A 15,335-nucleotide genomic window follows, 5' to 3' on the forward strand; every position below is an offset into this window, starting at 1 on the left:
AAAAGCAGCAGCATCCTGTGGTACCCAGAGCAATACAGCAGGTATAGGGAATCCTATTATGAGCCCAAAAGGACAAGATGTAGGAGTAGCACAATGCCAATGGTGAGTGACACAGAAATGGCCAGCGCATATACAACAGGGCAAGCTGCACCTGTACCAACAAATACTCAGAGCACTACTTGTTTCATTTGTTTTACAAGGAAAAAAAATATGGTTAAAAGACAACTAGAAAATGCCTTTATTGAATCTGAAACCATGATAAGAGACTGAACACATAGGTTTTATAAAACATGTTTCTTTCCTATCTTCCCTGTGATAATAACAAGCAAGGGACCTTAAAACAATTTCTGAAGTATAATCAGTACATATATTGCGATAGTGAAAAGAGCAAAAGATTTGGAGCCAAATTTAGCATGAATGGTGGATCTGCTTCTTACTAGTTATGAGAACTCAGTCTTCTTAAATTAAAAAAGGGCAAAAAAGTCCTCATTTATTATGGTTCTTACTAGGATTAGATGTAACGTACATGAAAAACATGGTGGAAGCACAGAAGAAATTCAGTTATTCATAACTGTATTGTTGTTATTTTATTATTACCAAACAGAAAATATGAGAAATGATCTGCTGACTGAGAATAAGGAAAAAATTCTTTTCTGGATCACAGTTCATTATAAAAGAATGATGTTCTTTGAGCAAATGGTGGAGGACATTTCTCAAAACCTGGAACAATGTGGAAACATACTCATCAATGTGATAAGAATAAACGAAATACACATTTTAAGAAAAGTCAGAGAGGAAGGCTTCAATTAAACTGCAAAATTAATGCTATGGAAAGCAAACAGTGTACCTTAGAGTGGGGAAGGAATGATGAGAAAATAATGACTATAATAGAAACAATATCAGTGGGCCTCCGACATCAACATGCCAGACACTGAACATTCTCCATAAATAAAATATGGCTTTATATTTTGATACAAACATACATATATGTGTGTATGTGTACATATATGTATATGTATATACACATATACTCACGTATACACATATATATATATAAAACCTCTTTGAAGTATCACTGAAATTTAGTGGGATTTGAATATGACTACAAGGTAGTAATAGAGGGATATACCTTATTTAAACAAAGGTGGTCTAATTGAAAGGACAGGAGAATAGTGTCTCATGTTAAGATACGCATATCTGTAGAAATCTGTCAGTCAAAGATTGGAAACATGATGTCTCATATTTGAATGTGAGATAAAAGCAGAAATGAATAGAAGTTTAACAATGGCAGAGGGTGCTACAGACTCTAGACTCAGCATATCTTAAACATAGTACAAAACTTCTGAAGGGAAACACACTGACCTAGTAGAATATTTTGATTTGTCTGGGCAGCTCTTGAGAGTCTGAAACATCTAAAAGTGGAGCATCTTCTCATAGTCATAATATAAAATGCTCTTATTTTACATTTTAAATGAAAAAGAAAGTCACAAGGAGGAAATTGTTGCATGGATTTAATTCTAATCGTTGAGACAAAACTGGTTGATGTCATGAGAGCAGCAGGGACCTTGGAGAGAGTAACCCCTTTGATGTGACTGAAGTCCTAGACTTGACTTCAGAACAGCAAAGTTAAAAATAATCAGAATGTGTGTGTGTGTGTGTGTGTGTGTGTGTGTGTAATTCCAAGGAAAGAGACTTGAACAATAACATGGCTTAAGAGAGATAGAAAGGTAGAAAAACTCAGGAAAAAAAAATTCCACATAATCAGAAATTATTCTAATAATAAAGCAAAAAGATTTAAATCTAAACAAACTGGTATAACTGCAACTTAAGCACCTATTATAAAAGGACTTACATTAAATATTGAAGGAGGAGAATAAACACAAAGTAGAAACACAAAAGAACAGCACCAGGCTGTAGGAATAATGTTCGGTAGCCAAAGTGTTAAGACAAATATTTGAGAAAGATCCTTTAAAAAGCATAAGGAGATTTGAGAGCTTCGTGCAGAGCAAGAAATTGAGCAAGGAAGATGTCTTAGCCTGGGTTTCCCAGAGAGCAGAGCCTGGTACAAAGGCTTGCATGCAGGTAATATTTTTGGAAGTGATCCCAAGGAACAGGCACTAGGCACAGAGAATGTGAAGCAGAGAAGGAGAAAAAGCCATACAGAGATGCACTATAGAGTTGGTCACTGTTAAGAGACCCCAAATGGCGGCTACTGAAGTGCCTTTGGGGTGGATCTCACGTCTGTCTGCCCTAGATCTAAAAGCTAGATGTGTTATCCATCTGTTCCCATCCTTCAGTGGTCAGGGATGGCATCCTGGATATTCATTCTCCTGCACTTAGCAGTCTGTGGCTAGTTGAGAACCAAAACTGGATACTCTGGTTGTCACAGTAGACACTAGGCAAGAAGGAGGGGACATAGCACACAGGTGCAGTGATGCAGGTTGGTGCAATCCTTCTTGGAGCTGCTTGCTGCAGCTGTGGCTGGAGTAAGAGACGGGACCTAGAGGACCTGAAGCTTTGTCTAAAAGGTGCATGATAAAGAAGGGCGGTGACTTGCTTGAGGATATTGTCATGTACCCAGAGAGCAGAGTGGGAAAGTAAAACAGCTCAGCCACAACTTCTACATGAAGGGAAGAAAAGCATGAAGCTAAAAAGGATAGGCCGGGCAAAATTTAGGGAGGGAGGATTGAAGCCATTGAAAAATGCCTGGCTGGTGGTCCCAGCTTCTTTTACAAAGACACAATAAAATAAGACACACTGAAACCTAAAATGAAAAGAAAAATGATAAAAAGCAAAATACAAAATAATGTGTATAGAAAGTGCAGTATTGATAGAAGCACTTCCATTTCTGTTAAAAGGAGACATTTATATCATGCACGCATGTGTGTATGTATACATATACATACGCATATGTCTGCCTTACATATGCTTTACTGGATGACCTTGGAACAGTTATTTTGCCCTCTCAGTGCCACCTGTCCCAAGAGGTCCTCCTGCCTGTGGTTGACTGCTGCATCCCCAACACCTAGAAATAAGCCTAGCACAGAGCAGGTGCTTAGTAACACTTGTTAAATAGATAAATGAGAACTTGACAGAAACATAGCTGTTATAGGAAACATTAAAATAAATAAACAACTCTAATATGAATACATAATATGACTTTAATATAACAAATTTGAAATCATGGATATATTGAACTTTGTATACAAAGAGCATATATATTATTTTCAAATTTCATAAGTATAAAAATTGATTATATTCTACTCATAAATAAAATTATTAAATCAGAAACTGAGCAGAAAATTGTCCAGTTACAATATAGTAAATCACAAATTAATAATCAAAGTTTAAAAACAAACAGAAATAAAACCCAGCAATTTGATAATTTAAAACATTCTTTAAAAAGTCTATTAGGACAAAAAATTCAAAATTGCAATAATAGACTACTTAAAAAATAATAGAGATACAACAAACATTACTTATTATTGTAGTATCATGCAGCCAAAGTTATTCTCAGAGGCAATAATCTTAAAAGCTCTCATTATTAAAATACCAATAAAATAAAGGAATTTAGTAATCTGTGGAATAAGTTACAAAAGCAACCACAGAATAAACCAAAGGAAACAGAGAAGAACCTGTAATAATTACAAAGACAGATATTTAATGAATTTAAAAACAAAATATAATTTCTCAATAAATCCAAGAGTTGTTTCTTTAAACACAACAGTAATACAGTAATATTAATAAAAAAAGGCAAAAAACAAATACAATCAAGATGAAAAAAGAAAGCAAAAATATTTTTTAAAATAAGGATATAATAGCAGATAATTTGTTTAAGTCTACACACAAGCTATTTTAAATAATTTTAAAACTACACTAGGTGAATGATAACCTAGGGGAAAAAAATCAATGCCCAAAATTAAGGACAAGTAGAAATTTTGATTTGAACAAAAACCGAAAATAAATGATCAAAAAGTATCCTTCAGTAGCAGACCCATGATCAAATAATTTTACTGTTAAAATTTCAAAGAGCAGATAATTCCCATGCTACATAAACTGATCTAAAGCTTTGAAAAAGACAGAGTGGTATCCACTTCATTTTCTTCAGCTTGAAGCCACAAAAGACCTGTACAAGAAAACCCCCGCCTGCCAGGGGGAAAAAAGACAAAACTGTAAATGAGTTATCTGAGAAATATTAATGCAAAACTCTTTAACTATTAGCAAATCAAATCCAATAGTATCTTCAAATAATCATTCACCATGACCAGGGAGGATTTGTCTGCAGATTGAAAAGCTGGTTTATTATCAGGGGAGACATGATTATAATATACAATACCACTTAGCCCAGTACAAAAAATCCCCAGAGTAATCTGAAAGGACTCTGTAAAAAGTCCAATAGCAATCAATATGCCACGTAACTTTCTTTCCTTTCTTTTCTTTCTTTCTTTTTCTTTCTTTCTTTCTCTTTCTTTCTTTCTTTCTTTCTTTCTTTCTTTCTTTCTTTCTTTCTTTAGTTCTTCTTTCTTTCTCCTTCCTTCCTCTCTCTTTCCTTCTTTTCTTTCTTCCTTCCTCCCCCTCTCCCTACCCTTCCCTTTCCCCTTCCCCTTCCCTTTCCCTTTCCCCTTCCCCTTCCCCCTTCAAAAAAAAAAAAAAAAAACACCACAGACATATTGAGGAAACAAGTTTTAGAAGATTAATTCTTCAATTGCAAAAGGGTATCTTTTGAAAATCAACAGCTACCATCATACTTCATAATGAAACATTAGAGACAATCCATTAAAAAAAGACTCATGTTGACTGTCTTCTCTGTCTAATGGGTTGTTGCTTAACCCTATTCTTTTATAATCAGAAAATAAAATAAAGAGGAGAAGAACAGAGGTGAAGAAAGGAGAGGAAAACAGTAATATCAATAGAGCTGATAAAAGAATAACTTTAAATTGTATTCAAGTTACTTGGTGTAAACAAATTATATCCAGAGTATAGGGAAAAATGGTAAAATCAATTGGGAAACCAATTGTGATGTACTTTGAGGATTGGGGTCATGCCAGAGGCTGCTTGAGACAGACAAAAGCTGTCTAATTATTTAATACAGAGAAAAGACACATTTCAGACTACAGACTAGGGTTATTGATAGTAATCCCTGGAAATTAAAATAAAATAATGATATGAGTGCTTAGCATAGGAGACATCTGAATTGAATTTGAATTTTATAAGATTACTAAGAATTTTTAGATTGTTAAGAAATTAAGTTATACCAAATTCAAGTCATTAAAAAATACAGGATTAAAAACGTAGCTAATACAATAATGCTTTAGATTTTAGATTATTTTCACTTGCAACTAGAATTTTAGCAAAACTTACTTTGATATCCTTTTGGATATCAATATAAGAATATATGGTATATGAAATACAGTGTTGATATCTTTTTTAATAATATGGCAAGTATGGGCTAGGGATTGTAGGGTTTGGGTTGGTTGAGCAACCATATCCAAACGAGGTTGTACATGGTTGAAGCAGCAGAAGAGTTTAAGTTTGGGAGCCAGATGGACCTACATGACCATACTAGTTACATTTGTGAACCTTGGACACGTTGCATCATTCTTGTCAAACCTCAGTTTTGTCATCTTTCAGTGTGGATAGTTATGTTAGGTGGAAATAACGAAGATTAAAGTGAGCTCGTGGAAACTGCCTGAGACAGTGTCTGGTGAGCAGCGACACATGCCAGAAAAGCTTCTGTTGTCTTTGTGGCTATCTTAGGTGTCTTGAACAGAAGATTGTAGGGGCTTGTCAAAAGACTCTGCTGCTGTCTGTGTTGTTCACCATTATTTGTAAAATCATAGAAAATATTTAAAACGTGGTTCTGATTCAGATAAATCAAAGCAGGAATAAATCAATTTCTGGATAAGAGAATTAAAACTCTAAAAGGTCTTGACAAGTTGGACAAATAACACAGGATGAAGTTTAAATATATAAGTACATTTTCTGTATTTTTTAAAATGAGCTCCATTAAATACAGAGTAGGGGAAATACAGCTTAACAACCATCCATCGGTGGAAAAGAAAGAATATTTACATTTAGATGACTTTAACTGTGGGATAAAGCTGACAGTGTGATACGACTCCTAAAATGTGGGTTGTGCTAATAGCTGTAGACACAAAGTAGTGTTCTGTGCTTGTTAGACAAAAGAGCTTTTTTTCTAAGTCTTAGGCACCAAGGAAAACAATTAGAGTTGGAGAATTAGAATAGTTAAGGCTGCAAAATAATGTTGAAGAAATTATAAAGCAAAGCAATACAGTTATCTTTAAGAATCTGAAATGTTCTCATGAGAAACAGAAAATAGAGATTCTCTTCTCTCTTCAGGAGGTAGGACCATGTACAAAGGAAGGAAGTTCAAAAGAGAAAAAAGAATATTCATCTCAGTTAAGAGATTAGGGAAAGAATGAGAAGGAATTGACATTTCACTTGCTGAGCTTATATTATATACAATATATTATACAGTTTTTATACTCATTTATACCTTACTTTCCAATAGTTAATGTTTTCCAAATACACTATTGTCATTCTTCTAGCAAAAGCCCAGAAAGTATTTTATAGGGAGTCCCATGGAAGATAAGATTTGATATCCTCTGTGGCTTCTTCAAATACTAATAGTTTATGATTTTCTAGCTAGCAGTAATACACCAGGGAATGAGGCTGGGACAGAGGCTGGGATATCTCTCAAGGCTCCTTAATATAATATGGCTGTAATCATAAAGAACAAGAAGGAGTGAAACATTTTCTTTTTCTCTAGCAAATTAAAACTCTGCTCCCTATTATATTTAATATAAATAAAAATTTAATCTGCTTAGCTCTTGAAAAAGGATCGCATATGTAGTGATTTGTATTTAACTGGAGCTCACATCAAATTCAATATTATTTTCACAGGTCAAGTTAGTACAGTTGGCTGTCTGAGGCTGGGCCTAAGCACAAAATATCCAATGAAGATTTGGAGCATCATTAATTAATTCAGATTATCTTCATCTGTGGTCTAAAATAGCTAGACATCGAGGTATTCTTGAGTTTGTGGTCTGCTTTATCTATATGTAACATAGAAAAAAAAAACAATTAAGAACATTATAATAAACAATTGCCATTTTGGCTCCTAGCAGGGTGGTATTTCCTAAGATGATCACCTTTTGTTTAACAAAATATCTTGATCAGCCTCAGCTCCTAAAGAAGACGATGAAATGAAAAAAAAAAGTTAATTTACATTGCATGAAAGGTAACATTTATTTGAGAAAACCAGATGTAAGGACAGGGGAAGTCTTCTGAAAAAAAGAAACAGGTCTAAGCAACTTAAATTCAGGTATATATGAGATTAAGTTCATAAAGAATTGATGGGCATTGAGAATCTTCTGGTGGCAGTGATGGCTTAGGCAAGTTTAGGAACATATATGTCTACTGCACTTAATTTTAAAATTATGTCTGCTTAGTGCTGCAGTGTAATAGCTATTGGCTATACTTAACTGCCTTGTGAGAATAGAGTTTCAGGAAATAAAGGGATAAGGGGCTGCGTTGGTGTATGAATTATCACCGGGCAACAAGAAGAGGACAGTCGTGAAAGAAGAGATGTAAGTTCAATGGGAATAGTCAATTAAAAAATACAGATAACCATGAGAAGGTACATTTCAGATGTGTGCAAAAATCTCAGAGAGGATACTGGACTTCTTATTAAAGATGAGAGTAGTGGTTGAAGTTAATTTTGTGTAAGTCTCAAAGGACAGACGACCTCAGCTGACATGTAGATTGACTATATAATTGCCTCAATTCTCTTCTTTCACTCTGTTTTTGTAGAAACATCTTGAAAGTCAAGCTTGTGGAACAATTACAAGCATGTTCTTGTTATTCATAAAGCTCAGCCTTTTTCTTGTTTTCACTGAAAGCCCAAATCCACTGTTTCATGTTGAAAGTAGAAAAGATAATACGCCTATCGGATGCATTTTTGCTTCCAAATGAACTTATTGGATTTGACCCTTATATACCATGAGATTGTTTGGAACGGGTTTCATAAATTGAAACAGTTTAATTTTTAATATGTTCCCATTAGTAAAAAGCTAGAGAGAGTCAAAACACACAGTTATAAAAAGCCAAAGCAAGATTCACGCTACTACCCCAAAGATTTCCCTGAGGTTTCTAATTGGTAGTTAAATACAGTTTCCAAACAGAAACCAGGTAGAAATCCTACAGAAAAGTGGCCTCACAACTTCCCATGGGCCAGGCTGTCTGATCCCTCCTTGTCTGCCATCTGGCAAGCTCCAACTTCAGCAGATAGACCATATATCGGTAAACTTCCTTCCTCTGTTTTCTTTATTGATCAAGTACAACAGCAGAGAAACACGTTTCCAAATTAAAGAAAGATGGAATTGACACCCTAACAGCCTTAGAATAGTTTCTGCTTTACTAGATTCTGAACTATTTTTTTCCCTTAAGTTATTTGAATGTGAGCCGAGGTGTGAACAAGGCAGGAGTGAGAATCAATAATTAAGCCCGTTCTCTTTATACCCACTATGCTGGGAAATCCATTTCTTTTTCTCAGCCTGATTATTATTTAGCATTTTTCCAATATCCTCAAGCGAGGTCTCCAAAGAAGTAAAATAAAACTGCAGTAAAATGAAACAAAAACACAGATAAGAACAATCCACTTTATCGTCTTGGAGTGGTCAAATCCTGGGGGAGGAGACTGGTGCAGCATAAAAGGAGAGGCATTTTGTTCTGTTTTCTTAGGATGTGAAATGTCTTACTCTATCCCATGGGGCCACTGTCTTGTGTGATTGCTGAAAAAACTGCTGAAAAAAGAGGCTCCATAGAGATGTCTATTCCAGTTTCTCCAGTCTACCTTGCACATCCATAATTTCCCCCAGAAATGGTGAGTATTTCTACCTCTGGTTGACTAGAGAGAAGGTGATAGCAAATAAGAAATGAGGCCAGGCGTAGTGGCTTACGCCTGTGGCACTTTGGGAGGCCGAGGCGGGAGGATCGCGAGGTCAGGAGATCGAGACCATCCTGGCTAACACGGTGCAACCTCGTCTCTACTAAAAATACAAAAAATTAGCCGGGCGTGGTGGCGGGTGCCTGTAGTCCCAGCTACTTGGGATGTTGAGGCAGAAGAATGGCGTGAACCCGGGAGGCGGAGCTTGCAATGAGCCGAGATAGCGTCACTGCACTCCAGCCTGGGCGACAGAGCTAGACTCCGTCTCAAAAAAAAAAAAAATGCTTTGTCATAGCAAAGTCTGCAGGCTGAACTTTGAGACTACGTCACAAAACCTTGCTGACAAACTTTCCAAGGAATCTGTTATGGATGATGTAACAGTGTTCTTAAAAACAAAAGGCAAATCATGACCTCAGAAAGATGTGATGCTTTCTTATACCTGCATGGCTGGGGAATGAGATATACCTGGAGCTCAAATCTGAGTTTGCTGGTCTCAAGTTGGTTGCCTTAATGCAGTGTGGGGAAATTGGTCCCAGCTGAAGATAAACCCTGCTTTCAATGTTTCTGTTTTCATTATTTCTCCCCAGAAGATTGCAAATCATCAAAAAAAAAATGCCTCCCACAGTGACTTCCTGGCCCCTGATCTTGTTCCACTACAGCCACAGGTATTTAATGGTTCTGTACTGGTGGCCAAGCATGAATAGATATTTTGTTCCAAGAAGAAATGGGGCCATTCTTTATGTAATCCAGCTGTTGGTTGAGGTCATGTTATCCTTTAAGGCTGAGTAATGTCCTTGTAAAGCTTTTCACACTTGATGCTTAAAACCTCCTTGACCTGTGTTTTTGCTTTCTTGTCTCTCATTATGTCTCTATCTACCTGAAATTTGGCTTCCAGCCTATAAAAAGTAAGTCAGCAGCATCCTGCATGGTTTAATACTATATGGTTTCTCTTAACTCTCTAGTGAACTTTCCTGGCTCTTCTTACCACCCCAGTCATCACTCAACCTATGTTGTTGACTCCTTCTCCCATTAAAATCCATATGATTTAGGTGTTTGTTCAATCTTTCTTCCTCTTATTCTATCCATTTTCAGGATGATCTCTTTCATTTCCACTTCATTTATTGATTGATTTACTTATTTAACTGTAGCCTCTATGTGAGAGGACAGGAGCTCCTCCTTTCACATCAGGCTTGGGCTTCTGACTGGCATTTCCACCTAATCCGTGCCTAAAACTAAACCTGTTCCAATCAAACTCATCTTTTTCAGCATCTATTTCAATGCCACCTAACACAATTAGGGACATCACAAGTTGCCATTGCTCAGTCTCGATATCCTAAAATATCTTAGACCCTTCCTCTTCTCATCCAGCCAAAGATAGGCTGGCACAAAACCTGGCAACGCCTCTTTTGCAATACTTTTCACACTTTCCCTTCCTGCCCACTCCTAATGACAATTCCCTAATTAAGGATGATTTGGTCTCATGTGAACTGTTTAGAGAACCTTCCAACTGGTCCCTTAATTTTGAGTCCTCTGGTCTTTCTTATAATTTGTTCTTCACACTGCCACAAAGTTTGCCTGAAAAATGTTCTGAGCACACTATTTGCCCATTCCAAGCCTTTACTGTTCACCAATCATACTCACAAGAAAGATTAGACTTCTTATCTTGTCATTCACATCAGACCATCACTGACAATCTTCATCCCATTCTTTCCCTGCAGCCAGGCCAAACTACTGACTCATTCCCAAACCCACTCTGCCTTCTTTGACTTCCGTGCTGTAGCTCACTGTTGCCTCTGCCTGAACTCTGCTCTTGCCTCTAATTGTTCAACTCAATCACTCCTTCCCAAAAAGTCCCTACATCTTTCCAATTAGAAATCATCTCTTCTTTTTATAAAAACCTATACATTTTGTTATTATGTCTGAAATAGCATATACTAAAACCTGAATTGTATAATTTTTTTATTTCACAGAACACTTTAAAATTTACAAAATTTGAATCTGCCATTTCATGGACTGTATCTTTCTCACTCTTCTGTGACTCTCTTTGAGGGTCAGAGATTTTTGATTATTTGCAATTGTATCCCCTAATTTTCTAACAGCCTATCTTTTATGAAGTAGGTAGCAGTAAATCATTGTGGGTTAATAGAAGTTTTAAGTTTTAACTCCTTTTTTTTTTCACCCAATCCAACATTTCTTTTGCATAGCTCAATGCTTCGATTATTGTTTGCGACTTCCAGTTTTTCTCTTGTTTCTTATGCCCCCAAATATAAGACATATTTCATTTTTGTGAGCCAAATATGGGTATTTTTCGTGAGTCAAATATGAATATAGGAGTTTTGTGTGTGATGAGCATTAGTATTAAAAATATTGACAATGATTATAGATACTAGAGAAATTTTTTAAACAGGTTGATTAGAAAAGTAATACTAATTCAGTCATTTAAATGGACTGCATACCATGGAAACCAATACTAATGTTTTATAACAGTAATGCATGTTAAATTAACTTTGTTATACATTTTACTTAATATAATTTTCTTGACAGCACTGCTAAAATATTTATATGTATTTAATTGTTTCAATTTTTGCATGGTTGTCTATTCAGAATTTTAAAAGAAATAGATGAATTTTTTCTTAGCACGAACGTCAGTATTGTTAGTTTTACCTGAGGTATAAATAAGAGATGTAATCATTAAAGAGATTGTAATGTCACTTCAAAAATAAACACGCTGTAAAATTAACTTCTGTGAGAAGCTCTATGAATTTTAACACAAGTATAGATTTAAGTAGCTGCCTCTACAATCAGGATACAAAACAGTTACATCAATTAAGAAACAAAATTCCTTGTGCTGTCCTTTCATAATCTGCCTCTTGCCCTATGCAATCACTTGCATATTTTCACTCCCCATAGTTTTGCCTTTTCCAAGGTATCATCTAAATGGAATCATACAGTATACAACCTTTTGAGGCTAGATCTTTTCACTTAGATTCATCAAACTCTGTGTGTTGATAGTCACTTCCTTTTTACTTCTGAGTATTATTCCATTAAAAATGGTTCCATTTATTCACCCATTGAAGGACATTTGGGTTGTTTCCAGTTTCTAGCAATTATGAATAAGCTACTATAAACAGTTATGTACAAGTTGATTGTTGAATGTGTAAACATGTTTTAATTTTTTTTTAAGTTTTAAGGATTAAATACACTGTGTTTTTATCCTTAAAAATTAATATAAGTCAGGTAATAGAGTAATTCTATATTTATAAGAAACTGCCAAATTTTTCCAGAGTGGTTATATCATTTTGTATACCCACCAACATATATGAGAGTTCTCATTGTTCTGCATCATCACCAATACTTGCTTTTTAATTATTTATTCTAATAAATGTATATTAGCATTGCATAATGGTTTTAATTTGTCTAATGATGTTGAGCATCTATTAATGTTCTTCTTTTTCACTCACGTATCTTCTATGGTGAAGTGCCTGATTAAATCTTTTGCCCAATTTTTAAAACTAGGTTTTTGAAAAATTAGTACCCTGCTGTTTTGATTACTATAGCTTTGTAGTATATTTTGCATTAGATAGTGTGATGTCTCCAGCTTTGTCCTTTTTGCCTAATTGCTCTGGTTAGGACTTCCAGTATTTATGTTGAATATAAGTAGCAAGAATAGGCTTCCTTATCTTGTTCCTGAAATTAGAGAAAAAGCTTTCAGCTTTTCACCATAGAGCACAATCTTAGTTGTTGATTTTTCATATATGGCCTTCATTGTGTTGAGGTACATTCCTTCTATACCTAATTTATTGAGAGTTTTTATCATAAAAGGATGTTGAGTTTTGTCAAACACTTTTTCTGCATCTGTTGAGATAATCCTATGGTTTCTGTCCATTCTGCTAATGTGATGTATCACATATATAGATTTGTGTATTTTAAACCATTCTTACATCCCTGGGATAAATTTCATTTAATCTTAGAGATTCAGGTTTGTTCGTATTTTGTTGAGGATTTTTGCATCTATGCTCAGGAATATTGGCTTGTTCTTTTCTTATAGTGTCCTTTTTTGGCTTTGGTATCAGGGTATTATTAGCCTTGTAAAATGAGTTTAGAAGTATTTCTTCTCTTTAATTTTTGGGAGAGTTTGAAAAAAATTTATATTAGTTCTTCTTTAAATGTTTGGTAGTATTCAGCAATGAAGAGCTGAAATCTTGGGCTTTTCTTTGATTGGAGATTTTTTAATGCTGGTTCAATCTCCTTACTTATTTTTGGTTATTACATTAACTGTAATGTACATTTTGAGAATTTAAAATAAGAAAATTAGTCTGTTATATATATTCAGATATTTAAAATTTCTATTGTTCTTCCTCATTCTTAAAATGCCAAGTTTCTCTCTAACAGCATTTCCCTTCTACTTGAATTTTCTTTAATAGCTCTTTCAGAAGTTGTCAGTTGGTAATGATTCTCTTGATTTTCTTTCATCCTAGAATTTCTTGACTTTGACTTTATCTCTGAATAGAAATAGAATAACTGAATATAGAATTATGGGTTGACAGTTCTTTGCTTTCAGCACTTAAAACATATTGTTCCATTATTTTTTGGTCTCGATTATTCATGAAAAATCTGCAGTCATTTGAATTTAGTGCAATCAATTAAAGGTGTACCCTTATATGTAACATGTTGGTTTTATCTGGTTGCTTTTTAGAGTTTTTACTTATCTTTTATTTTAGCACTTTGATTGCAATATATCCAGGCATGCATTGCTCTGAAGGTGTCCCATTTGCAGTTTGTTGGGCTTCTTTTTCTGCCAGTTTGTCTTTCAACAAATTTTAAAAAGTGTTTAGTCATTATTTCCTAAAATATCTTTTCTGTACCAAAACCTTTCTTCTCATCTTCTGGAATTCTGATAACATAAGTGTTAGCTCTTTTTATATTGTCTCACAGGTACCTAAGGCTTTATTCCTTAAATACAAAATCACTCTATTTTTTAACACTTGAAAGATTGGAAAATTTATAATTGCTCTATTGTCAAGTTCACTTACTCTTTCATCTGTAGTTTCCATTCTGCTATTAAGTCAATCCACTGAATTTTATCTCAATTATTATATTTTTAACTCTAAAATTTTCACTTGATTCTATTTTATAGCTTCTATTTCTTGCTGCTGAGACTTCCTATCATTTAGATTGTTTCAATAGTATTTATTTTTACTTTGTCATGGTTATAAAAACTACTTTAAAACTTTTAATCAGATAATTTCAACAGCTGTTTCAAATTATCTGATAAAATGTGGTTGGTTTCTGCTATTGTCTTTTACTTTAAGAATTGTTAAATTTTCTTGGTTTCTTTGTATGTTTTGTGATTTTTGTATTGGATACTAGATGTTTGTAAAAATATGTTGTGTAAATCTGAGTCTTTTGCAAGTCTTATGGAGATTGTGTTTTTGGTTTTTATTTTTTATCCATCAACCAATCTGGTTCGGTTCAAATCAAAAATTCAAACTCACCTTCCATGGACTACAGCTCTAATGTAAGTTTTGTTTTCAAAGGCTTTGGAGTGTTATTTGTATCTGTACAATATCTGCACCTTCCAAGAGCAATCTGAAATCTGAGCAGTGGCACAGTTCAGGTTTTTTGAGAGCCTACTCAGGCACATTTATGGACATATCCTTGCATGAGCAGGTTGAGATGAATCCAGGATTTTCTATTTTTCAAGCTCTGCACTCTCTGCTATCTCACTCACATTCTTTGGCACCCAGGCATTTAAAAAAAATGATACTTTAGTCTCTCTGTGCTTTGCTGATCACTTTCCCTAATTTGGTCAGCCTCCAGGGGCAAGTGGTAGGAGGACAGTGACAGGAAAAAAAGCAACATAAATTCCCTACACAGTCTTTGGACCAAGTTTCTCTGATCAGAAAGAATGATCCTCTTCCCTTACAGTTTTAAGGTCAGGTCCAACTACTATAGTACTATAGTGAATGCTGTGGAATAATTGCACTTTGGGAATGGAGACAGGGGTTGGAAAAAGAGAAGAAAACAAGACCAGAGTTTATCCTACTTTCTCTGTTTGGTAGATCAGAATAAGGAGTCTTCTTTTAGAGCTATTTCTGTATACACGTGGTACACAACTCTGGGATTTGTGCTGCCTTTGAATCAACAATGGGGGATATGGAAGGAAAAACAATCTAGGGTACTCACTGCCAAATCTATTGGACTATTGGATTAAAAGTTCTGGGTTTTTTTTTTTGTCCAATGCATCTGCTGCCATTTACTTTTTAGAGCCTTTAGATAGCTGCTTTGTGCATTCTATCCAGTAATTTTTGTTGCATTTAGTAGGGGAGATAGAATGGAGTATGCCTGCTCTATCTTAATCAGAACT

General features: G+C 34.9%; 1 long non-coding RNA gene across 1 annotated transcript in view, besides 1 other annotated feature; it reads left to right on the forward strand.

The window, feature by feature from the left end:
* The window catches only part of LINC02712 (long intergenic non-protein coding RNA 2712), a 65,964-nt gene that overhangs the window by 31,245 nt on the left and 19,384 nt on the right, over nt 1-15,335 (forward strand). The gene's annotated exons all lie outside the window — the stretch shown is intronic.
* Nucleotides 8,434-9,633: an enhancer, noted in NCBI's record as "MED14-independent group 3 enhancer chr11:127180643-127181842 (GRCh37/hg19 assembly coordinates)". NCBI's record gives its function as "activates an origin of replication core promoter dependent on BRD2, BRD4, P300/CBP and CDK7 cofactors, and independent of MED14, by STARR-seq in HCT116 cells {active_cell/tissue: HCT116}" and the evidence as "EXISTENCE:reporter gene assay evidence [ECO:0000049][PMID:35650434]".

The sequence above is a fragment of the Homo sapiens genome, chromosome 11 (assembly GCF_000001405.40).
Source record: "Homo sapiens chromosome 11, GRCh38.p14 Primary Assembly".
In the NCBI taxonomy this organism is placed as follows: Eukaryota; Metazoa; Chordata; class Mammalia; order Primates; family Hominidae; genus Homo; species Homo sapiens.